Source organism: Homo sapiens, chromosome 8 (genome assembly GCF_000001405.40).
Source record: "Homo sapiens chromosome 8, GRCh38.p14 Primary Assembly".
In the NCBI taxonomy this organism is placed as follows: Eukaryota; Metazoa; Chordata; class Mammalia; order Primates; family Hominidae; genus Homo; species Homo sapiens.
Genome location: NC_000008.11, coordinates 26,551,786 through 26,577,932, shown reverse-complemented (window position 1 = coordinate 26,577,932; position 26,147 = coordinate 26,551,786). Strand labels below are relative to the sequence as shown.

Below are 26,147 nucleotides of genomic sequence, written 5' to 3'. Positions count from 1 at the left end.
TCAAGTCGGCCACCGTGGCGCATGCGCCGCCAGCCACTCCCTTTCCTCTCAGGCAAAAGCCATCCGCTTCGAGAGAGACGAGCAGCGATTGGCCGCGATCCTGGGATATGCAAATTTAGGCCGGTGGGGCGGGGCGCGGCGCGAGAGCGCGAAATGCGGCAGTGAACGGCCGGGGGCGGCAGGCGGCGCGAGCGCCCGCGCTGGGAGCGCGCCTTTCGCGCGCTTTCTTCGGGCCGGGGCGGTGGGGACCGGGTTTGGCGGCGGCCCCAGGCGCGGCCTGGGCCACGCGGGGACAATGGAGGGGTGGTCGTCGCGGCCGGGGGGAGGGGCGGCACCCCGAGACGGCGGGGCTTCGGGGCCGCACGCACTCGCCTGCGCGCGCCCCGGTCCCTGCCCGCCTGCGCGCCAATCCGCGGAGGCCGCCGCGGCAGCCCCGCGTGGGGTGACTGCGCCGAGCCAATGGCTTCGCTGGCGGCGAGCGCGCGACTGCACCGCCGGCCGGCGCCGCGCAGCCCGGGAGGGCTCCCGGGCCCTCCTCCCCCGCCGTTGCTGGCGCTGAACTCGCCTGGCCCCCGCCCTGGCGCGGCTGAGGACTGGAACGGCGGCGGGCGGGAACCCGGCGGGGAGGGCCCGGCCACGCCCGGCCCCGGAGAGGGCGGCTGCTTCCCGGGAGCGTCCGGGCCCGGCTCCTGGGGGCGGGGAATGGGCGCGGGCCGGGGGGAGGCTGCAGAGACGGGATCTGGCCCGCGTGGAGGCGCCGGGCTGCAGGAAATGAGAGCCCTGAGGAAACCCTTCCAACTCCGAGCCGGGAAGGAGGCATCCGGGGAAGGCTGCGGGGTATGGGAAACCCCGCCCTGAAACATCCTTTTGTGCCTTCCGGCCGCGAGGAACTTAGTAGGGCGGAGGAATGGGGAGCAGCCGCAGCCCGCCGAGGCCGATGTGGCGCGATCTGCGCTCTGTGCGCCCGCTTTACAGTCACGCCCACCTCGGCTCCCTGAGGGGTGCGTGGGGGCGCAGCGCATTTCGCTGGTGCCTGCAGCGCTGTCGGGGGCAGCTGCTGCGATCCCAGCGCCCCGGGGTCCTGAGGGTTTACAGTGCCAGTGGATGGGACCCACACCGCACCGTGGGGCGGAGAGGAGGAGATGAGCTGTGGAGGAGCAAGAAAGGAAGAGTTTATATCCCACAGGAAAGGGAAACTGAGTCTTGGGGAAAACCTACTGAATCGGAGTTAAAATCAAGAGTGTCCTGACTGCCCAGGCAGAGCCTTGTCACTTCAAACGGCACTCAAGGCCCCTTCGTGGTCCTAGCAATTGAGCAGGCCTGGGACCCCTTAGCTTTGCCTGTCCAAGCCATGCTGGGATGCTCTAACTTCAGGGTCCGTGGGAAAGAAAAACGCTGATCCAGTTGATCCTCAGGAATCTACCGAGGCCAACCCCCGTGGGAGGTTGCCCTGGCAGGTACAATAACTAAAACATCTGGACCAGCCCTCGTAGCGCTCGGGCTTCTCTGCTTGAGGTCGAAGGATACATAGAATCCCTACGTAATCATGGGCTGGGGGGTGGGGGAAGAAAGAGTATGTAATTGGCTCACACCTGCTCAGCAAAGCTTAGCTAGATAAATACGGAATAATTCGAGCTGCTGTGGGCCTGACTTCCAATCTTTCTGCCCTTCACCACCTTAGCCACTTTAGGGGAATGTCTGTCCTTCCAGACTCAGAGAAGGTGTAAAATTCTCCTTTTCACTCCTATATCTCTAAAAATCTGAAGTCCCAGAAAGTAGCCGTAGGGCACGCACAAAGTTTCACCGATGGTTAATTCATCCAAGTTCAATTTAGCTGTGCATCTGAAAGAGAAAGTGAAGCACTTCCCCCTCCAGCAATCTGATATGCCGCAAGCAAGGTGAGATGATGTCGGCAAGTATTGCTGTCAACCGGTAATGGTTAAAGTCACGAGTCTGAGAAAGCTTAAAATACGCCTTTCTACTTGGCCTCTCTCTACTTGTGAAAAACCAACAGTCAGTCCCAGCTTTGCGGAGGACAGGGCAGTGGAGAGGAGTGTCCTATTAGCTCACAAAAAAACTACTTGGCAAGGGAGTAAATAAAGAGACTCAAATTAATTTAAAACAAAGTAACCTATAATTATATTGTTTGTATTCTTGTTGTATTCCCTACCCCCGTCCCTGTTGTTTGAGCGTAATGGGTTTAAATATATCTTGTTATTTACCAGTTTACCATAGAATCGTTTGTTTTGTAATAAAAGCTTCCAAGAGCTTGTGTCTGTCTCATTGGCTTCAATTGTATAGCCATTGCTATGAGGTTCTTAGTCCATAATAACTGACGTTTCCACTCGTAAATATCCAAAAATGTAAGGTATAAACTGATTTGTCTGTTCTGACTAGAGCCTAAGAGAGTATTTGGCACATAAAAGATACCAAACAAATGGTTTAAATTGACCGAGGAAGAGAACTGTCTGCAACCTGCATTTCTTACCATATTTACCATTCAGCGCAATGAGGAAAAGTAAAAAAGGGCCGAGGAGAATCTTCCACCTGCTTTGCACTGATGAAGGTGAAAAAAAAAACAAAAAACCACAGGTAAACAGGCCTCACACTTTTACTTCAGAGATCCTTGTAAAAATAAATGAGAGGCTGGGCACAGTGGCTCACACCTGTAATCCCGCACTTTGGGATGCCAAGGCAGGCAGATCAGTTGAGCCCAAGAGTTGGAGACCAGCCTCAGCAACATGGAGAAACCCCGTCTCTACAAAAAATACAAATATTAGAGACTAGGCTGGCCAACATGGTGAAACCCCGTCTGCACTAAAAATGCAAAAATCAGACGGGCATGGTGGCTGGGGCCGGTAATCCCAGCCATTCGGGAGGCTGAGGCAGGAGAATCACTTGAATCCGGGAGGCGGAGGTTGCAGTGAGCCAAGATAGCGCCACTGCACTTCAGCCTGGGCAACAAGAGCGAAACTCCATCTCAAAAAAACAAAAACAAACAAAATAAATTAGCTGAGTGTGGTGGTGGGCACCTGTGGTCCCAGCTACTGGGGGCAGGGGAAGGTTGGGGCTGAGGCAGAAAGATCAGTTGAGGCTGGGAGGCTGAGGCTGTAATAAGCCATGATCGTGCCACTGCACTCCAGCTTGGGTGACAGAGTGAGACCTTGTCTAAATAAATAAATAAATGTTTCTTATACTTTCTGTAGAAAAACACTCAATGAAAATTTCCTGTAAAATTATGAATTATTATTTGTGAATCTAATATTCGTACCCTTTGTCAGGCATGACTTTTCTGAATTTTTAAACATTAAATTCATGCCAAACATGAGAAAGCAATGTAAAATTGCCTGTTCCGCAATCACAGCCCCTTCCCAAACCTCCACTTTCCCATACTTTTCTCCCAGCACCATAAAAGAGCCAGATGCAGTAACTAAATTAGACAATGGTTTAGTGAAATGGTAACATCCCGGGCATTCTGCATGGTGTGCAGGAAGGGAGGATCTGCCTGAGCAGATCCATGAGTGGGAAGAATGCATTTTAACCAGGTGCTGTATCAGAGTCTGATCCCTGTCTTTTCCGCAGCTTCAACTCCCCTCCCTGGACACCTACTCTGTCCCCATGCTCAATGGGTGCACGCACACAGTGTCAGAGCAAACTTCTCACTGCCCCTGAAAACAGTGTGCCCTCCCTAATCTACATCTTGCCCTAAGCCGTTCTTTTCCCCTCCTTCCCTCTGAAACAACTGAAATGTTACCATGTCTATGAAGTTTTCCCCATCCTACCCCCACAGCCTTAAGCACTCCTTCCTGTGTTCAGCTCTGCTATAACACCATCACTCTATAATGACTTGCACATTTCTTCCATCAGGCCTTGACTCCTAGAAGCAAAAAGCCCCCTCTTCTCCCAGCTACCAGCACACTGCCTTGTCTCTGGCAGGTGCCCTTAACATTTTGTGCATAAATAAGTGCCATCATTGCTATGACGAGGACAAAGGTTCTTCCACCAAGGTGAGTTTTAATGTCAAAAAAAAAAAAAAATCCCCAATGCAAGCAAGCCTTTCCCTTAGGACTATCACTTTTTTTTTTTTTTTTTTTTTGAGGTGGAGTCTCACTCTGTCGCCCAGGCTGGAGTGCAGTTGCATGATCTTTGCTCACTGCAACCTCTGCCTCCCAGGTTCAAGTGATTCTCCTGCCTCAGCCTCCCGAGTAGCTGGGATTACAGGTGCCCACCACCACGCCCAGGTAATTTTTTTTTTTTTTTTTTTTTGAGACAGTCTTGCTCTGTTGCCCCAGGCTGTAGTGCAGTGGCGCAATCTCGGCTCACTGCAAGCTCCGCCTTCTGGGTTCATGCCATTCTCCTGCCTCAGCCTCTGAGTAGCTGGGACTACAGGTGCCTACCACCACGCCCAGCTAATTTTTTGTATTTTTTAGTAGAGACAGGGTTTCACCGTGTTTGCCAGGATGGTCTCGATCTCCTGACCTCGTGATCCACCCACCTCAGCCCCCCAAAGTGCTGGGATTACAGGCGTGAGCCACCGCGCCCGGCCACGCCCAGGTACTTTTTGTATTATTAGTAGAGATGGGGGTTTCACCATATTGGCCAGGCTGGTCTCAAACTCCTGACCTCAGGATCTGCCTGCCTCGGCCTCCCAAAGTTCTGGGATTACAGGCGTGAGCCACCACACCCAGTCAGGAATATCACTTTGCCGGGCCTTCCTTCTTGGCAGCCTCCCCTTCTCCAAGCCCCTGAAACTCCAGGAAGACCTAATGTTATTATTAACAGCTTATTATTCTCTGCGGGGCTGTAGCTGCCTAGATTTTAAGCTCCGCCTCCACTAACAAAACTGCTGTGTATCAGCAAGCCTGGTAGAACACGGAGACAGCACCCAATCCTAAAATGAAGGTCGAAGTCATACAAGGTGTCTCTAGTAATTTTTTCTCAATTTCTGAAACTGTCCTTTACTCCATCCTCCCATTATTCTTCGTACATCCCTGTGTGATCCCATTCATCGCAGTAAACCACCTACACAATACAATCCTCACCGACACCATAACTAGGTGAGTGTGATTTTTCTTCCATTCAAGGTTTGAGCTCACAGGGAAGAAAAACTCTTTCAAAAGTCTTACTCATTCCTGACCAGGCGCAGTAGCTCATGCCTGTAATCCCAACACCTGGGAGGCTGAAGTGGGCGGATCACCTGAGATCAGGAGTTCGAGACCATCCTGGCCAACATGGAGAAACCCCATCTCTACTAAAAATACAAAAACTAGCTGGGCGTGGTAGGGGACGCCTGTAATCCCAGCTACTCAGGAGGCTGAGGCTGGAAAATCACTTGAACCTGGGAAACGGAGGTTGCAGTGAGCCGAGATTGCGTCACTGCACTCCAGCTTGGGTGAAAGGGCGAGATTCCTTCTCAAAAACAAACAAAAAAGTCTTACTCATTCCTTATCCTTACAGAGGGCCTGACAAGGCTGGGGGCTCAAGCAGGACTGAATGCAGGGAGGGAGGTATGAGTGGAGGCACCCAGCCAGCCCTTTGCACATGTTTGCATCATCCAAACTGCAGGGAAGTGGGGCTGGGGAGATGCAGACATAACTCCAGTGCCTCGGGCGGCTGTGCTGCTCTCAGTTCCTCAGCATCTGCCCGGAACGTGTTCCCTCCCTGACTAGCCCACTGCTGCTCTTGGTTTCATGTTCCCCTTTGGGGAGCTAGAGTAGCCATTTCTGCTTCTGTGGCGCCCTGGGTCTCTGCGTTAGTGCAATGTTCAGAATTTCACAGAGTAGGGGAACTCCAGAGCAGAAACTGCTGACAAAACAGAGCCCAGAGGTGGCAAAGAAAATCCCCAATGCCCAGAGTGCTGCAATTGGATGCCAAGGGCTGTGGCCTCTAACACAGCCTGCAGAGAAGGTTGAAATGAATGCGGCAGTAAAGAGAAGGTACTGGAATCCTTCTTTGCCAAAACAAAGGGCATTGACTAGGACACTTGAGCTGGAAGTGATGCCTTCTTCACTGCAGATGGAATCAGGCAATGACGATCGTTTTCTTTGTGTGTGTAGCTCTGAAGGGTCAGAGACTGCAGATTGGATCGGAACCTGCCCACTGCCTTCCCCTGTGGCTGCATCCTTTTAGCAGCAGTGACAGTGGTGACAAATGAGGGTCAGCAGTGACTGGCCCTCCGAAACAGACGCTGCTTTGGCTAGAACTGTACAGACTGCCGGCCAGCATGGGGGCTCTGCTAGGATTCTGAGGACACATCCTCCCTGCAGGAAGACAAGAAGCTCATCTGTCCAAATCCTGCTGGACAAGAGGGCACAGAGGAAGCATGCACTTCACAGAATCTAGTCGACTCGGGCTTTCTCTTATCCCCAGTTAGCGCACACACCTCCTGAAGAACTCCTGCAATGCCCACCCTGCACCTCATTCTCTGGGTGGCTACAGATGTTCCCTGGGGTCTTTCTATCCCTGATGGGGACAAAGGGCACCTAGCTCAGCCATCGTGCCTCAGGCCTGCCCTCTGGTGGCGAACAAAGAGTGTGCACGTGGTCCCCTGCGTGCTGGTCTCCAAGCCAGGGCAGGGCCTTGGAGATCACTTGTTTCCGTTGGTGTGCCCAAGTACTCCCCTCCATCAGAATCACCCTGGGCCCCAGCTCAGACATCCTGAACAGAATATCCGGAGGTAAGGTCCAGGAAGGTTTTTAAACTAGTCTACTTCTGGACACTTAGCGACAGATCCAGCCCACTCCACCCTCTATTTATAGAAGGAGGAAAACATGGACTAGGAGGAAGGGCTCACTCCCTACCTAGTGAGGGGTCCACTCACCACAGGGCATCACTGGTCTGCTCTTTGTCCAGGGGGAACATTATGAAAGAGTGGTAAATATTATCCCTCTCATTCCACTTGTCTGCCTTCTGGAAACAGTACAATCTTCTAAAATACTGTTATGTTGTCAGTGAGGAGGAAATTAACATGTATTGAGCACCTACCATGCTCTAAGCATAGCACTGAGTGCTTTAAATACATCTGCTTTAATCTTCTCCAAAATCCTACTGGGTAAATCTTCAGATCCTCATTTTATAGACGAGGAGAGAAAAGCACAAAGAAACCTCTTGTTCCAGGCCCAGATTCTAATTTGGGTCTGTGTGACCCCAAAGCCCAAGGGGCTAGTTCTTTTTTTTTTTTTTTTTTTTTTTCCTTTTCTAAGACTGAGTCTCACTCTGTTGTCCAGACTGGAGTGCAGTGGCGTGATCTCAACTCACTGCAACCTCTGCCTCCTGGGTTCAAGTGATTCTCATGCCTCAGCCTCTCAAGTAGCTGGGATTACAGGTGCCCACCACACCTGGCTAATTTTTGTATTTTTAGTAGAGATGGGGTTTCACTATGTTGGCCAGGCTGGTCTCGAACTCCTGACCTCGTGATCTGCCCACCTCAGCCTCCCAGTGTTGGGATTACAGGCATGAGCCCCCGCGCCTGGCCAAGGCTAGTTCTTTTAATGGTAAGGTACTTGTTTAGTAGAAACTGGGACCCACCTTGTGCAAGAGGTAGGCACAGGTGATCGGCTGTCTTTCTTTACTCCTTCCACTGTCCCCAGTCCACATTCCTTAGATGTTTCCCCTTCTCCCGAAATCAATTCTCCATCTCTTTCTTTCCTCATAACCCAGTGTAACTCAGTTTCACTCAGTGGCTCTGGCCCTCCCCTCATAGGAAACATGACAGACGAACATAAAGGTTTAAATGAATGATAAATGCTCAGTGTGCTACTCCTCTGCTAAAAAGAGAAGACCCTGGTTAGTAGAATTTCAGACACCAAGCCAGGCTGCTTGCATAAATAAAATGCAAACCGTTTATCAAGTCTGCTGCGTGTGATCTTGCCCTTCTTTTTTAAATTTTTTACTTTTATTTTTAGTAGAGACAAGAGTCTCACTATGTTACCCATGTTGGTCTCAAACTCCTGGCCTCAACTGATCCTCCTAAAGTGCTCAGATTACAGGTGTGAGCCACCGCGCCCGACTGATCTTACCCTTCTATTCCTTTCCAGCTTCATCCTGTGTTACGTCCCCAAGCTCTCTCATGCCATAGCACACTGATGTCCTTCCTTTCCCTGCAATGGCCCTTTGTGGCTGCTGTTCTCTCTTCTCCCATCTCTCCTTCTTGCCCATGCATCCCTGCTTCAGGGAGGCCCTCCATGACCTCCCTCCTGATGCCAGCCCATGTACTCCTACTCTTCCTTGTCTCAGCACTATCTCTTTAATAGCAACAATTATAATTTGGAAGTATTTTTGTGCATTTGTTTACTTGAGTATTTCCAGTCTGTCTCTACTTCTCAATTGCAAAGCCCCTAAACCACCTAGTCCTCCACTCCACCTTACAGTGACCGCACAACACTCAACAAACAAGAGTTAAATGACAAATGAACAGGAGAACCTTTCTAAAGATACCTGTTCTTCAGCCCAGGTGACCGAGGCTTCATCTTCCACCTGTTGCCTCCCAGATATGCACCTGCCATTCTCTAATCCTGATTCATCCCAGGCTTTGGGTTTTTCTTTGGTTTTTTTTTGTTTTTGTTTTTGTTTTTTTTTTGGAGATAGGGTCTTGCCCTGTCACCCAGGCTAGAGTGCCGTGGCATGAGCATAGCTCACTGCAGCCTCAAACTCCTAGGCTCAAGCGATCTGCCTCAGCCTCCCACATAACTGGGACTACAGGCATGCATCACCATGCCTGGCTAAGTCTTTTTATCTTTTGTGTAGACAGGGTCTTGCTATGTTGCCCAAGCTGGTCTGGAACTCTTGGGCTCAAGCAATCCTCCTGTCTCGGCCTCCCAAAGCAGTGGGATTACAGTTGGGGGCCCTCACGCCTAGACTTCACCCCAGGCTTTTAAAAGACCAGATGGTGAGGATTCACCTGACTGGATGAGGTCTCATGGCCTAGGTTCTAATGATCCAAGGCAGAGCGAGCAGATTCCTTTTCTACTGGGATCTGTCCTTGGGAAGCATCAAGCCTCACATTCACAAAGCTCAGCTGTGCCTGGAGGTCCAATCATGATAACTGCAGCCGGGTTCCTCTTTTCAATCCCGCACTTCAGGCTTGTACTCACCACAGCCAGAAAATACCGCAGATCTCCCTCAACTGGGCCCTCCTTGATTCAGAATCTGTGTCGATTCTGAAAACGGCCAAGGAAAAGGGGTAACTATGAACTCTGAAAGTGTAAATAACATTTCAGGAGTTTTCATCTCTTAAAAGAATCCGCCATGATCAATGTACTGAAAACTGCTCACTCATCCAAAAACACGCCATGGTTCTTGGCCATTTGTCCATTTCGGTTCCCTAGAGGACACTTTGGGGCAATTTATTAGCTTAGTCTGTGAATGCTTGAAAGTAGTCCATTTGGATATTGTAAAGATTTAACAAAATTCTGACCTTTCCTGTAAATAAATTGGTCCTCTTTCTGCCCTCCTTACTCCCCCACCCTGTTTGTTTTCAAGGAGTGAGAATTTATTACTGACCTTGTGTGCCAGCTCTCAGGAGACCAAGGGGGATCAGGAGATGTTTACAAGTTCCCCATACACAGTCCCCCTCTTGTAGTACAACGCTGTAGAAAGAGAGGTCACAGGTGAATGGCACGTGATGCTTTACCAATGCTTTACCAGCTCCAGGCAAACTGTGCCCCTCTACCTAGGCTTGGGCTGGGGGCTCTCCACCCCCACAGTGTCATCAACCCAACGACTGGTCTCCCTCCAGCTTCTGGGCACTTCCACTGTCTTGAGGAACCAGACAGAATTCTTCCTATCTTCCTATCAAGCAGATAAGGAAATCATTGAAAGAATAAACAGCCGAATGCAGTTGTGCTGTTAGTAACCATCAGTCTCATTTGTGGGCTTTAAACTAAATTCTACATCTGTGGGCAGTGTGTAACTCCTGTGGGCACTGCCAAACCAGTGGAGGAATGAGTGCCTGCATATGTCCCTCGGGGCTCAGGAGTTCTCTCTGTTTCTTCAGAGAATTAGAAATGGAGGTAGGATAGTAAAAAGACCACTTTAAAGGGACAGGGCACTGATGGAAGAAAATAACACTGGAGCCTGGAGAGACTAAGTGGGAATTGATGCCCTTCATCTCTTCTTCTCCCCATCTAAGGCCACTACCTCACCGGGGGCACCATCTTCGCATTCCCTGTGCGTGCCGGGCTGTTTGCAGCTCCACACTTGTGCTCACATGCCTGCCTCTCCCAGCATGCCCAGGCCCTCTTGGACCCCTCACACCATCACTCCTCTGTGCAACCATTCCTGAGCCCTCAGGTCCAGCTGACCACTCCTTCTCTTATGCCCCCACTGGGGGCTGTACAGACTCTTGGCAGAGTGCCAAAACAGTCTCCTGGACTATTTCCTTATACAGTGTCTCCTTCTCTTAGACAGTAAGCATCTTGAAGACAGAGACTATACTTTCTCTCTCCTCATCACCCACCGTAAGGCCTTGCCTGTAATAGGCAAACAAATTCTGAAAGGATGGATGGATGGATGGATAGTAGATGGGTGGGGTGGATGGATGAATGGATAGTTGGGTGGGCAGATGGATGGATGGATGGGCAGATGTATGTATGTATGTTCATATGGATGGATGAATAGGTGGATGGATGTGTGGTGGGTGGATGGATGGATGGGTAGGTGGATAAATGAATGGGTGGTGGATGGATAGATGGATGATGGATGGATGGATTCTTGGGTAGATGGACAGACAGATGATGTGTGGATGGATGGGTGGATGGATGGATGGATGGATGGATGGGCAGATGTATGTATGTATGTTTGTATGGATGGATGGATAAGTGGATGGGTGGATGGATGGATGGATGGATGTGTGGGTGGACAAATGGATGGATGGATGGCTGAGTGGGTAGGTGGATAGATGGATGGGTGGGTGGATGAATAATGGATGATGGATGAATAGATGGATAGACAGATGACGGGTGGATGGATGGAAAAGTGAATGGGTGGAAGAGTGGATGGAATAGATGTATGATGGCAGGATGGATGCTCAGGTAGATGGATAGACAGATGATGGGTGAATGGATGGATAGATGGGTGGGTAGGCGGGTGCACAATGGATAGATGAATAAACCCATTACACAAATGTCCCCATTATAAAATACAGCCCAAACACTGGGACTTGAGTCTAACATAGACTCACTGGGACTTGAGTCTAAAATAACCTTCCAAAGCATGAAATTTACAACCAGGTCCTGTCTTAGGCCTCGTCCATTTAGTTAAAGTTTCTAGAAGGACTGTGGGTGTCTTCTTTTCCATTCTCTTTCTTCTCATCATCTACTCCTTTCCCTCCTGTCAAGCCTGTGAGAGGTTTGCCTTAAGGCTGTTGTCAGTGTCCTTCCTGCCCTTCAGTCCTATGAGCCCCACCGCTTTGTCAACCACACTCTGTTCAGTTTGTAATCAAGTCCAAAGAGGACATGCATGCCACAAAGCCCTATAGTCCAAGAGTTAGTATTAGGTATTTACTCTTTGAGCATTTACTCAGCATTTCACAGTAAGCAACGGGATAATTCCCTCAGGTTTCCAATTCCCTCCTTTCTCCTGCAGGGCCCCTTTAGGGAGGGGGATCCCGTGATTTTTTTGTATCTGAGCCCAGGCCCCTTCCAAGAGTCATCAACCAGAGCCTGTTCATACCCCGGGTCCTCCTCTAAGATCTGTCTGACTTCTCTGTACTCCATCTGCCCACCCTGCAAGGTCATTTCCAGACCATCACTTTCTCAGCAGCTTGCAGAAGCCCTGCCCTTCTGTGTACCCTCATCTCTGTCTCCAAGACACTTCTGCACATTTATTCAGGACATAATCAGCTGGGTCCTTCCATGTCTATCTGGCACTGAGATGTAGCAGAGGCCACTAGCTCTTCATGAAATCCAGGCTCTCCTCTTCTTCTAGGACACACAACTGGACTACATTTCCCACCCTCATCGGCAGTGAGATGTGACAGAGTTCTAGCCAACGCAGTGCATCTCTTCAAGGCCTAGGACATAGACAATTCCCTCTTCCTCCTCCAGGCTTTTTCTCCAAGCTGACGGGATGATGATTGCCCAGACAACCTTGGGAGCTGTGTGTTGAAGATGTTAGAACCACCAGCAGTTTGACTTTCCAGTTAATTGCATGGAGCGGGGACCCTGTACCTTTCTCTGCCCACTCAACAGAAACACCCACCTTGAACTATTATGTGATATACAAATAAACTCCTTTTGTGCTCGAGTCATTATACATAGTGGAGTCTATTTATCATAGCAGCAGTATTCTTTCTACCACAACTCCTAACTTAATCCTGTTTGAATTTAAAATTTGTGTGAAATACACACATACCCTCAGTTCCTTCACTTTGCTGACCCATGACCTTGGCCTGCCCTTATCTTTAGCCATTCACTCCAAGGGCTATCTGAGCCCTCATCCCCTAACCACATCATCAAGATGTGATGAGTCAACCTCTTCATTCACAGCTGGGCCCCCATGGTCCATTTCCTGGACTACTCTCACCAGCAGCATCATTCTGCTACTCTTACCCTGCAACCTCCCAATCCTGGGGCAGCCCTAAAATTCACTATTCCCTAACCACTTCTGTGGGAGCAGCCACAGAACACTCATACTGCATTAAAGATTGGGACAAAAAGAAGTCATGATATCAAAAAGACACCTGCACTCCTATGTTTATTGCAGCACAAGTCACAGTTGCACAAATATGGAACCAGCCTAAGTGCCCACTGACCAATGAGTGGATGAAGAAAATGTGGTACATATACACCTTGGAATACTACTCAGCCATAAAACAGAATGATAAAGAATGATATAATATCTTTTGCAGTAATTCGGGTGGAGCTGGAAGCCATTATTCTAAGTGAAGTAACACAAGAGTGGAAAACTAAACACTGTATGTTCTCACTTATAAGAGGGAGCTAAGCTATGAATACACAAAGGCATACAGAGTGATATAATGGACTTTGGAGACTCAGAAGAAGGAGGGTGGGAATGGGGCTAGGCATAAAAAAAAACTACACATTAGGTACAATGTACACTCCTTGGGTGATGGGTGCACTAAAATCTCAGACTTCACCACTATACAATTCATCTATGTAACCAAAAACCACTTGTATCCCAAAAGCTATTGAAATTTTTTAAAAAAAAAATTCTTTTAAAAAGAAACTGGGACAGATCACTCCAGAAGAGCTTCCCCTGAAGACTTCCCACTGGTCCTTGATCTGGCCACCCTCTCACACCTCTCAGCAGCTGTCACCACCTTTGCCATGCTTCCTGGGTCATCCTCAATCGTGTTCTCATGAGCTCAGTCTGGCTGGAGAGCCCAGTGCTGAATGAGGAATCACAAATGGAATAAGGATTTGTAGCAGAGCATCACACACACCCCTCTTTTCTCCTTCCCTAGGTCTCACAGGAAGACGTCAGCCCATTCAAGGATTATTCCCAAATCCATGCTGTTTCCCACCCCGGCCTGCTCCCAAATCTCAAAGTCTTCCTCTCCACCTCTCAGTCCCTTGAGCTTGGAAAACTCCTCCAGCCGTTCCCATCTCCCTGGCCCTGTGCTCCTCACCACGATTGCCCTGCCTTGCTGTTCCTACATGGTTAAGCTTCAGGAATGGGTAGCGTACACTCCTGGCCTCCACTTCCTCAACTTCCACTCCCATTTGCTTCTCAACCCACTACAGTTGGCCTCTTCGCCTGACTCCATTAGAAAAGCTTGGGCAAACAGCATGCTAATTGGAAGCTAATGCGCACTTTGTGATCTTTATTTTAACTGAGCTCATTGTGATACTTAACATTATTGCCTCTACCTTTTTTCTTCCAAATTCCCCTCCCTCGCTTCTGTGATGCCTTTTTTTCTGGCTCTTTTCACGCTTTTATGACTCTTCTTTCTAAACATTCATTGAGTTCCTCTTACCCAGTCTTAAATATCAATGATCCCTTAGGTTGTCTCCTAAGCCTCTTTCTCTGTCATGGTTTCAACAACTAACTAAACGTTTCTAACTTCCAAAGCTTTATTCCTGACTCTTTCCACACTTCATTCATTCATTCATTCATTCATTCACTCATCCAGCAAGGTTACATTAAGTGCCTTCTATGTGCCAAGGGATATGATAGTAAAAAAACCTACAACACCTCTGCCCTCATGGAAGTTACCTTCTACAAGGGGGTAGCCATTTAATTAATGGGGAAAGAAACAAATACAAAGGATAACTTCAGATTGCAGTCAGTGCCATCAAGGAAATAAGCAGAGGATAGAGAGGTGGAAAGGCACTTTAGACAGAGTGGTCTAGGAAGGTCTAGGAAGGGGAGCTGACATTTAGGTAGAGATTTAGTCCCAAGAGCAAAAATCTGACTTTGCCTCTGGAGGGAAAATTCTGGACTTAGCCTCAGGCAGCAGAGTTCTAGACTTAGCCTCTGGAGGAAGTAGCAGAACGTGGTGTCTGGGAGCTAAGTTCAGGACTTCATGTCTGGAAAAAGATATTGGGGCTTCAATTCAATTTTTGCAGCAAAGTTTCTGACTCAATGTGTTAATTAAAAGGGAAGACTTAGTCTTTGGACAAAGATGAGAAGGAGGAAGCCATCTGGGAGAAGAGAGTTTATGTAAGAGAAAACAAAAACATGGGAAGACTGAGATTAGGATGAGGTGGAATGTTTTGGGAACAGAAAGGAGTCTAGTGTGACTGGAGAACTGTGAGCAAGAGAGAGTGATAGACATGAGCGTGGCCCTTTAAAAACAGTGCCACAAATTCTTTGGCATCCTCCTAATGAAAGGTGGGGTCTACATGCCCTCCCTTTGAATTCGGGTGGGCTTCTGGCTGCTTTAACAAGTAGAGTATGACAGAAGAGATGCCTTCCAAGGACAGGTCACAGAAAGCATGGTCTGAGTTCAGACACAGGTGTGGGAAATCCAGCTACCCTAACGCCACCATGCTGTAAAGAAGCTGAAGCCATGTAGAGACCAATATAGGAATTCCAGCAGAGTCCCCCCAAGCCCAGCCTTCCTGCCATGGTGCCAAGGTGACAGACGTATGAGTGAGAAAGATTCTGGAGGACTCCACCCCGGTTGTTCAAGTCACCCAAAGCCATTCAAGTTTTCCCAGATACGGCCCTAGACATCGTGGAGCAGAGACAACATATCCCTGCTCTACTGTGTTCAAATCCCTGATCCACAGGATCCATGAGCACAGTAAGAGTGTTGTTGGTCTTTGCCACTATATTTTGGGGCTATTTGTTACACAGTAACATCTGCTTTGTACAACCGAAGTTAAAGCAGCAGGCAGGGACCACATCTACAGGACTGTGGGCCATGGAAACAGATTCGGATTTTATTCTGTCTTTAAAACGAAACCATTTAAGCATTCTAATCGGGAACAACAAAATCTGACCAATACTTTTTATATATTATTCCAGCTGTAGTGTGGTGGTGCAAGGGTCAAACAGAGGCAACCAGTAAGAAGGTGAGAGTGGATTGTGGCTAGGACCAGGGCAAGGGCACTTGAGATAAATGGACAGATGTGTCATTTATGTTGGAGGCAATAATAACAGCTACCACTTTTGCAGCAATTACTGGGCCAGGCATTGTTCTCAGTGCTTTGCAAGTATTAACTCTGGTTAAGCCTCATAATACATTTAATCCTCACAACAACTCTGTGAGGTAGAGTGGAAACAAAGTGAGATTAAGGAACTTTCCCCAGGACCCAAAACTCACACGTGGCAGAGCCAGGAATCAAGCCCTGCAGTCTGACCAGTGTGTGTCCTTCCTCTTATCCACTCTTGTTTCTGCTGCCAATAAAAGTCACTAATAGATTGGATGTGGAGTAAGTAGGAGAAAACTATCAAGTGTGAACTCTAGATTGGGGGATTGAATCAAGGTGAATGGTGGTATGTAAATAAAACTATAATATCAAGTGTGAACTCTAGATTTGGAAATTGATTCAAAGTTGAATGGTGGTATATTAACGCAGGGGTCCCCAACCCCTGGGCTGCAGACCAGTACCCGTCCATGGCCTATTAGGAACTGGGCCTCACAGTAGGAGGTGAGCAGCAAGTGAGCCAGCATTACCGCCTGAGCTCCACCTCCTGTCAGATCAGCCAGCCAGTAGATCTTCATAGGAGCTCGAACCCTACTGTGAACTGCACATGGGAGGGATATAGGTTGCATGCTCTTTACGAGAATCTGACGAAGGCCCTGATGATCTGAGGTGGGACAGTTTCATCCCAAAACCATGCCCCAGTCCCTCTTTCCATGGAAGAATGGTCTTCTATGAAACTGGTCCATGGTGCCAAAAAAGTTGGGGACTGCTGTATTAATGGATGTAAGAAAGACCAAGTGAGTAGCGGGGTGAAGTGGGGGTGTGGGATTATGGGGGAGCTGATCAGGATTTCCACTCGGTTAGGGGGATGGTTTCCATTGGGGCCATGGTAATTTGAGATGCCTTTAAGATATCCAAGTGGAAATAATAAGGCACTCAAGTGAGAAGTTGGGGCTTAAGATGTGAATTTAGGAACATCCACTCATGGATGGTAATTAAGTCAAATAATTCTACGACACCAGCTGAGGAGGAGGTAAAGATGGAGAGGAGAGGGTCAGTCCTGATACCTCTGATTCAACTAAAGAAAGGGTGGTCTGCAAAGAAGACTCAGGAGTGGCCAGAGAGAGGCAGAGTAGCATGTATTGGACACCAAGAATGGAGAGTACTTCAAGAAAGCAGGAGTGGTTGTCTGAGGCTGCTGAGAGGCAACTGGATATAACCACTCCCACATCCGATGGGCATCAACTCAGAAATGCCCAATGACCAACCCTAGTAGAGTCTTGCATTTCTCATACTCACCCCCCTCCCATCCCTCCCCCTGCTTCTTTCAAGGCTGCTGACGGCAGGTAGAGGGTGAGATAATGGATGTGGCAGCAACTGTGTAGTGTAAGGTACCATTAATAACTGTGGACAGCTGCTCTCTTACAACTTCCCTTCCCCTAGCTCAATTTAAATTCTTCTTTAGACTTGGAGGCCTGACAAACACTCATCATATGATTAATGATGTTTCTTTCCTTTCTGGTTGGAAAATGGGTGGAACCAGCACTTTGTAACTGCTGGTGATTATACTTACATAGATCATACTAATGTCCACATGCACCTTTACTAAAAGGATAAAATTATACATATTGCAAAGACAGAGGATGTTAGTGATTGGAAAATACCAGTAGGATATCTCCCTCTGCCCAAAAATGATGGCTGCTTACTGTTTTAATGCTTCTATTAAAGCATAGAGATGAACCTGGTTCAAGTGAGATATTGGGTATCACCAAGACCCATTATTTCTGCTTGGGAGAGAGGAAGCCCTCAAATCCTTCACCTAGAATTTCTCATGGGGTGCAGCCCACAGAGCCTGGCTGTGAGCTGTGAGCTGTGAGCTGTGGACAAACTCATTTATGTCTGCCTTCAACATCGAGTAAATGGAGGTCCAGACCTTCCCAGACCTGCAGATAGGTGCATCCCACCAGCAGAGGGCTGCAATCATTGTAATAAAAGCTAAATGTTATCTTAAATAGAGAATAAAGTGAAAATAAATCCTTTGATTGGGCTCTGTCTAAAAGTATTCTAAGGCTTGTCTTATTCCTCATTCTGTAAATAATCCATGGAAGGCCTGACCTGGAGAATGGAAATATACCCTGTTTTGTGAAAGTTCTAAACATGCAGCCCCTGCCACCCAGGTTCAGGCAGAGTGAGCTGCCAAGGCCGTCGGGAATGGTCGCGTCTGCTCCTGATTAATTATTACACCCTGTCTTCTGCTAAACCAACTCTGCTTAGCATATCTGCATTATTTCTTTTAACAGATTATCTCCCATGGACTAGCCATGGCAGAGCTGGGATGTGAGGCAAAGGAAAGTGGAGGAAGGACTTTTGTGCAATGTTTCAGCTCAGCATAATGAGATGGGAACGTGGTCTCCAGGTGTGGTTGATGAGTTTAGGAATGAGCAGTGGGATTACTGAGACATCACAGGGGGCTCCTCCCTGCAACCCTGACTTCCTACTGAAACTTGTGAATTTAATGCAAGCCAGAGTATAAAAGATCTTGGGGTAGTTAGAGGGAACCTTGAGAAGCATGACTTCAAAGCAAGAAACCATCAAGGAAAAGATCAATAGAGCTGATGATATAGAAAATTTAAATGTCTTAATATACATAACATTTAAAAGTAGACGATAAATTAAGAAACAAATATTTGAAACCTACGAGTTAATATCCTTAATTGTTTATGAATCATAAAGATGAACATTCCAAATTACTTAAAGAACTAAGAAAAGCACATGAACCAGCCACTCATAAAAAAAGAAATTAAATGCTCAATAAATACAAGAAAATATGTTTAACTTTACTAAAGGACAATTTTTAAAAATTGAGATCTTATATTTTAGATGTTAAATAGATGGAGGCTGAAAAGATTGAAAATACTGTACTAAGTATTAACCAAAGTGTGAAGCAATGGGCTCTCTCATTTCTTTCGCAAGAATGTAAATTGGTACAATCTTTGTGGAAGGAAATATGATTAAAATTTTTAATGTGCATAATTCTTGATACAGAAGTTTCTTTTCTATAAATTTATTGTAAGGAAATAATGGGCAAATATTCATGTTTATGAATGTTCTTCATAGCACTACTAGAAATAGTTTAGGCCGGACGTGGTGGCTCACACCTGTAATCCTAGCACTTTGGGAGGCGGAGGCGAGTGGGTTGCCTGAGCTCAGGAGTTCGAGACCAGCCTGGGCAACACGGTGAAACCCCAACTCTACTAAAATACAAAAAATTAGCCAGGCGTGGTGGCGTGCGCTTGTAGTCCCAGTTACTCAAGAGGCTGAGGCCAGAGAATTTCTTGAACCCGGGAGGCAGAGGTTGCAGCGAGCTGAGATGGCGCCACTGCACTCCAGTCTGGGAGACAGAGCGAGACTCCGTCTCAAAAAATAAATAAATAAATAAATAGTTTTAAAAATAGTAAAAACAATGGAGAATTGTTTAAATTCATGTTTTATCTAACCATATAACTATTAATTTTTTAATGTGTGCAACATAGTATTAAATACAAAGAGCAAGATACAACAGAGTTTATACATTAGGATCCCATCTTTTTAAATTAATAGACTTTATTTTTTAGAGCAGTTTAGGTTTACAGAAAAAGAGCAGAAAGTAACAAGATTCCCATATATCCCTTTCTCCCTCCACCACAAGGCAAACACTGTTTCTCCTATTACTAATATATTAACATCTTGCATTAGTGTGATACATATGTTACAAGTGATGAGCCAATATAGTTACATTATTATTCACTGAAGTCCACAGTTTACATTAGGGCTCACTCTTGGGAGTTTGTATATTCCATGGTTTTAAAAAGGTAATAAGATGTATCCACCACCACAGTATCTTGTAGAAGAGTTTCACTGTCCTAAAAATCCCCTGTGCTCTACCTACTATTGCTCTCTTCCACTCACCCCTTCCCCAAGCCCATGGTAAACACTGATCTTTTTAGTGACTCCTTTGCCAGAATGTCATAGAGTTGGAATCACATTATGTAGCCTTTTCAGATAGGCTTCTTTCAATCAGCAATAAATACTTAAGGTTCCTTCATTTCTTTTAATGGCTTGTAGCTCATTTCTTTTTATCACCTAGTAATATTCCAGTGTCTGAATGTACCACAGGTTGTTTATCCATTCACCTACTCATGGACATCTTGGTAGATTTCTAGTTCTTGCAATCATGAATAAAGCTGCTATAAACATTTCTGTAGAGATTTTTGTTAGAAATAAGTTTTCATCTCCTTTGAATAAATACCAAGGAGTATGATTGCAGGATCATATGGTAAGATAATATTTAGTTTTGTAATGTACTGCCAAACTGTCTTCCAAAGTGGCTGTACCATTTTGCATCCTCACCAGCAATGAATGAGAGTTCCTGTTGCTCCACATCCTCACAAGCATTTGGTGTTAGGATGTAGAGCGACAGGAACTCTCCATTGCTGGTGAGGATGAAATGAGATGCCACTACACATGAAAATCCAGGATGAATGTTGGCCATCCTAACAGGTGTGTAGTGGTATCTCATTGTTGCTGGGTTTGTTTGTTTGTTTGTTTGTTTTAGAAAAAGTCTTCTTTGTCACCCAGGCTGGAGTGCAGTGGTGTGATCTTGGCTCACTACAACCTCCACTTTCCAGGTTCAAATGATTCACATGCCTCAGGCTCCTGAGTAGCTGGGATTATAGGCATGTACCACAATGCCTGGCTTTTTTTTTTTTTTTTTTTGTATTTTTAGTAGAGACAGGGTTTTGCCATGTTGGCCAGGCTGGTCTCAAACTCCTGGCCTCAAATGATCCACCTAGCTCGGCTCCCAAAGTTCTGGGATTACAGGCATAAGCCACCATGCCTGTTCTAATTGTTGTTTTACTTTGCAATTCCCTGATGACATATGACACAGAGAACCTTTTCACATGCTTATTTGCCGTGAGTACATCTTCTTTGGTGAGGTGTCTCTTAAGATCTTTGGCCCACTTTTCTATTGGGTGTTTGTTTTCTTGTTGTTGGGTTTTAAGAGTTCTTTGTACATTTTGGATAACAGTTCTTTACCATATGTGTGTCTTTTGCAATTTTTTTCCTCCCAGTCTCTGGCTTATCTTTTCATTCTCTTGACTGTGTCTTTCACAGAGCAGAAGTTTTTTACTTTTGAAGTCCAGCTTATCAATTATTTTTTTCATGGACCATGCTTTTGGTGTTGTATCTAAAAAGTCATCTTCTATGTTATATTCTAGGAGTTTTATAGATTTCCATTTTCCATTTAGGTCTATGATGTATTCTGAGTTAATTTTCCTGAAAGATGTGAGGTCTGTGTCTAGATTTATGTTTTTGCATGGGGTTGGCCAGTTGTTCCAGCATCATTTGTTGAAAAGGCTGTATTTTCAACACTGAATTGTCCTTGTTCCTTTATCAAGGATATGTCAACTATATCTGTGTGGGTCCCCTTCTGGGCTCTCTGCTCTCTTCCCTTGATCTGTTTATCTACCACACTGTCTTGGCAACTGTAGCCTTATAGTAAGTTTTGAAGTCAGATGGTATCTAATTTGTTTTTCTCCTTCAATTTCATGTTGCCCATTCTGAACTCCTTTGCTTCTCCATATAAACTTTAGATTCAGTTTGTTGATGTCTACTAACAACTTGCTGGCATTTTGATTGTATCTAATGTGTGGATCAAACCGGGAAGATCATGACAATCCATCTATCTATGAACACAAAAAATCTTTCTGTACATATATACATATTGTTAGATTTATAACTAAGTATTTTTTGTACACAATAGTATGTTTTTAATATAAATTCTAATTGTTCATTGCTGGTATATACAAAAGCAGCTGACTTTTGTATAATAACCTTATATCCTACAATCTTGATATAATCATTTAATAGTTCCAGGAGATTTTAATGTTGTTGATTCTTCGGGATTTATTACATAGACAATTACATATAAAAATGTGTGTGCATGTATGTGTGTATATACTATATATATATACTATATATATATACTATATATATATACTATATATATACTATATATATAGTATATATATACTATATATATACTATATATATTATATAAATACTATATATACTATAGTATATATATACTATATATATTATATAAATACTATATATACTATATATAGTATATATATAGTATATATAATATATATAGTATATACTATATATAGTATATACTATATATAGTATATACTATATATAGTATATATAATATATATAGTATATATATACTATATATAATTTATATAGTATATACTATATATAGTATATACATAATTTATATATACTATAAACTATATATATACTTATATATATATTTATATATATAATATATACTATATATTTATATATACTATATATACTATATATAATATATAATACATGTATATGTATATATAGTATATGTGTATATATGCTAATATATATAACTACCTATACAAGTACTACATATACAAGTATATATATAATTTTTTTTTCACTGTCACCCAGGCTGACAATCATGGCTCACTGCAACCTCTGTCTCCCAGGCTCAAGCAATCTTTCCAACTCATCCTCCCTTGTAGCTGGGACTACAGGTGCACGCCCCCCAACCAAGCTAATTTTTTGTATTTTTTTGTAGAGATGAGGTTTCCCCATGTTGCCCAGGCTGGTCTCAAACTCCTTGACTCAAGCTATCCACCTGCCTCGGCCTCTAGGATTACAGGCATGAGCCACTGCACCAAGCCTTTCCATATATTTAGATCTTCTTTGATTTTGTGCATAGGGAATTGTAGATTTCCTCATACAGATCTTATACATATTCTGTTAGATTTATATCTAATTTTTTTGGTGTTAACATAAACAATAGTATGTTTTTAATGTAAATTCTAATTGTTCATTGCTGGTATATAGAAAACCAATTGGCTTTTGTACAATAACCTCATATCCTACAATCTTGATATAATCATTTACTAGTTCCAGGAGTTTTTATTGTAGTTGATTCTTTGGGATTTATTTCATAGGCAGTGATGTCATATGCAAACAAAGTTTTATTTCTTCCTTCCTAATCTATATACCTTTTTTTTCTTTTCTTGCTTCTTGTATTACCTAGGATTTCAGTGCAATGTTAAATACAAGTGCTGAGAAGGGAAATCATTGGCCTTTTCCTATTGTTAGCAGGAAAGTTTATGGTTTCTCACCATAAATATGATGTTAGCCATTTTTGCAGATCTTCTTTATCAAGTTGAGAAAGTTTCCCTATATACTTAGCTTTCTATCTATCACTAATAGATGTTGAATTTTGTCGATAGTTTTACTGCATCTATTGGTATAATCATGTGATCTTTTTTTCTTCTTTAGCGTGCTGATGTGATTGTACTAATTGATTTTGAATGTTGAACCACTCTTGTAAACCTGGAGTAAATCCCACTGGTTCTAATGTAGAAACTCTTTGTATACATTGTTGCATTTTATTTGTTAATATTTTTGAGGATTTTGACATTTATATTCATTAGAGATACTGGTCTATGGATTTCTTTTCTTATAATGCCTTTGTCTGGTTTTGGTATTAGGGTAATTTTGGCCTCATAGAATGAATTAGGAGGTATCCCCACTGCTTCTGTTTTCTGGAAAAGATTATAGAGAATTGGTATGATTTACTCCTTAATTATTTGGTAGATCAAGATGGATAAAAGGCTTAAATGTAAAACCCAAAACTATAAAACCCTGGAATACAACCTATACAACACCATTCTGGACATAGGAACGGGCAAAGATTTCATGACGAAGATGCCAAAAGCAAACACAACAAAAGCAAAAATTGACATATGGGATGGAATTAAACTTAAGAGTTTCTGCAGAGCAAAAGAAACTATCAACAGAGTAAACAGACAACTTACAGAATGGGAAAAAATATTTGCAAACTACGCATCTGGCAAAAGTCTAATACACAGCATCTATAAAGAACTTAAACAAATTTACAAAAAAAAAAACCATTAAAAACTGGGCAAAGGACATGAACAGACACTTTTCAAAAGAAGACATACAGGCAGCCAAAAAGCATGTGAAAAAAAGCTCAGTATCTCTGATCACTAGAGAAATGCAAATTAAAACCACAATGAGATACCATCTCACATCAGTCAGAATGGCTATTATTAAAAAGCCAAAAAATGGCCAGGCACGGTAGCTCATGCCTGTAATCCTAGCACTTTGGGAGGCCAAGGCGGGTGGATCACGAGGTCAGGAGTTCAAGACCAGCCTGGCCAAGATGGTGAAACCCCATCCCTACTAAAAATACAAAAATTAGCTGGGTGTGGTGGGGGGCATGTGTAACCCCAGCTACTCAGAGGCTGAGGCAGAGAATTGCTTGAACCCGGAAAGCAGAGGTTGCAGAGATCGTGCCACTGCACTCCAGCATGGGTGGCAGAGTGAGACTCCGTCTCAAAAAAAAAAAAAAAAAAGCCCAAAAATAACAGGTACTGATGAGGTTGCAGAGAAAATGGAACACTTGTGCACTGTTGGTGGGAGTATAAATTAGTTTAATTACTGTGGAAAGTAGTGTGGTCATTCCTCAAAGAACTAAAAATAGAACTACCATTCGACCCAGCAATCCCACTACTGGGTATATACCCAAAGGAATATAAATTGTTCTACCATAAAGACACATGCATGTGTATATTCGTTGCAGCACTATTCAAAATAGCAAAGACCTGGAATCAACCTAAATGACCACTGTACATTGGATAAAGACAATGTGGTGTATATATACCATGGAATACCATGCAGTCATAAAAAAGAACGAGATCATGTCCTTTGCAAGAACATAGATGAAGCTGGAAGACATCATCCTCAGCAAACTAACAGAGGAACAGAAAACCAAATATTGCATATTCCCACTTATAAGTGGGAGCTAAGTGATGAAAACACATGGACACAAAGAGGGGAACCACAGACACTGTGGCCTACTTAAGGATGGAGGGTGGGAGGAGGGAGAGGATCAGAAAAAAATAAGTATTGGGTACTAGGCTTAGTACCTGGGTGATGAAATAATCTGTACAACAAACCCCCCACGACATAAGTTTACCTATATAACAAACCTGGACATGTACCCCTGAACCTAAAATAAAAGTTTAAAAAATTATTTGGTTGAATTCACCAGTGAATGAATCTGGGCCTGGTGCTTTCGGTTTTGGAAGGTTATTTTCTATTGTATTTCTTTAATAGCAATAGGTCTATTCCGATTATCTATTTCTTCTTGTGTGAGTTTAGGTAGATTGTGAATTTCAAAGAATTGGCCAATATCATTTACATTATCAAATTTGTGGACATAGAGTTGTTCATAATCTTCCTTTATTACCCTTTTCATGTCCATGGGATCAGCAGTGATGGCCTGTCTTTCATTTCTGATATTAGTAACTTGTGTCTTCTCTCTTCTTTTCTTAGCCTAGCTAGAGTTATATCAAATGCTATGGTTTGAATGTTTGTCCCTTCTCACATGAAACTTCATCCGCAGTGCAGCAGTGTTGAGAGGTAGAATCTTTGGAAGGTGACTGGGTCATGAGGGCTCTGCACTCATGAATGGATTAATTCATTCACAGATTAACCAATTAATGGGTTATTGAGGGAGTGGGCTACTTATCACAAGAGCGGGTCTGTTATGAAAGCCAGTTTGGCAGTCTCTTGTAAGCACTCTCACATGTGATGCCCTGCACCTCCTCAGAACTCTGCAGAGAAGACCCACCGGCCAGAAGGCCCGCACCAGAAATAGCACATGGACTTTGGACTTCCCAGCCTCCAGACCTGTAGGAAATAACTTTCCTTTCTTTATAAATTACCCAGTCTCAGGTACTCATTTATAGCAACAGTAAATGGACTGAGACATCAATTGTACTGATCTTTTCAAAGAATCAGCTTTTGGTTTTATTTTCTCTTTTGATTTCCTGTTTTCAATGCCATTGATTTCTGCTCTAATTATTATTATTTCTTTTCTTCTGTTTACTTTGAATTTAATTTGCTCTTCTTTGTCTAGTCTCCTAAAGTGGAAGTTTAGATTATTGATATTAGATATTTCTTCTTTTCTAATATATGCGTTTAATGGTATAAATCTCTCATTAAGCACTGTTTTTGCTGCGGTCCACAAATTTTGATAAGTTGTATTTTCATCTTCTCATAGTTAAAAAATATTTTTAAAATTTCTTTTGAGATGTCTTCCTTGGCCCATGTGCTATTCAAACATATATTGTTTAGGCTGTGTGCTGTGGCTCACACCTGTAATCCCAATGTTTTGGGAGGCTGAGACAGGAGGATTGCTTGAGCCTAAGTGTTTAAGACCAGCATTGGCAACATAGTCAGACCGCGTCTCTATAAAAAATTTAAAAATTAGCCAGGCATGGTAGCATGCCTCTGTGGTCCCAGCTACTCAGGAGACTGAGGCAGGAAAATTGCTTGAGCCCAGGAGTTCAAGGATGCCATAAGCTATGATTATGCCACTACACTCCAGCCTGAGAGATAGAGCAAGACCTCATTTCTAAAAATAAAATACAATAAAAGTATATTCTTAAAATATTTGGGGAT

The 26,147-nt window shown here is 44.4% G+C and overlaps 1 protein-coding gene across 1 annotated transcript in view, besides 7 other annotated features; it reads right to left on the bottom strand.

Moving 5' to 3' along the window:
- Positions 1-26,147, bottom strand: part of DPYSL2 (dihydropyrimidinase like 2) — a 144,145-nt gene that overhangs the window by 80,243 nt on the left and 37,755 nt on the right. The window lies entirely within an intron of this gene.
- Positions 107-806: a silencer, noted in NCBI's record as "silent region_19044". NCBI's record gives its function as "represses an Ori minimal core promoter by ATAC-STARR-seq in GM12878 lymphoblastoid cells {active_cell/tissue: GM12878}" and the evidence as "EXISTENCE:reporter gene assay evidence [ECO:0000049][PMID:35858748]".
- Positions 107-850: a biological region, named in NCBI's record as "H3K27ac-H3K4me1 hESC enhancer GRCh37_chr8:26434599-26435296".
- Positions 153-850: an enhancer, noted in NCBI's record as "H3K27ac-H3K4me1 hESC enhancer chr8:26434599-26435296 (GRCh37/hg19 assembly coordinates)". NCBI's record gives its function as "activates a minimal SCP1, AML or CMV promoter by ChIP-STARR-seq in primed H9 embryonic stem cells {active_cell/tissue: H9 hESC(primed)}" and the evidence as "EXISTENCE:reporter gene assay evidence [ECO:0000049][PMID:30033119]".
- Positions 847-1,046: a silencer, noted in NCBI's record as "silent region_19043". NCBI's record gives its function as "represses an Ori minimal core promoter by ATAC-STARR-seq in GM12878 lymphoblastoid cells {active_cell/tissue: GM12878}" and the evidence as "EXISTENCE:reporter gene assay evidence [ECO:0000049][PMID:35858748]".
- Positions 847-1,548: a biological region, named in NCBI's record as "H3K27ac-H3K4me1 hESC enhancer GRCh37_chr8:26433901-26434598".
- Positions 851-1,548: an enhancer, noted in NCBI's record as "H3K27ac-H3K4me1 hESC enhancer chr8:26433901-26434598 (GRCh37/hg19 assembly coordinates)". NCBI's record gives its function as "activates a minimal SCP1, AML or CMV promoter by ChIP-STARR-seq in naive and primed H9 embryonic stem cells {active_cell/tissue: H9 hESC(naive and primed)}" and the evidence as "EXISTENCE:reporter gene assay evidence [ECO:0000049][PMID:30033119]".
- Positions 1,647-1,816: an enhancer, noted in NCBI's record as "active region_27129". NCBI's record gives its function as "activates an Ori minimal core promoter by ATAC-STARR-seq in GM12878 lymphoblastoid cells {active_cell/tissue: GM12878}" and the evidence as "EXISTENCE:reporter gene assay evidence [ECO:0000049][PMID:35858748]".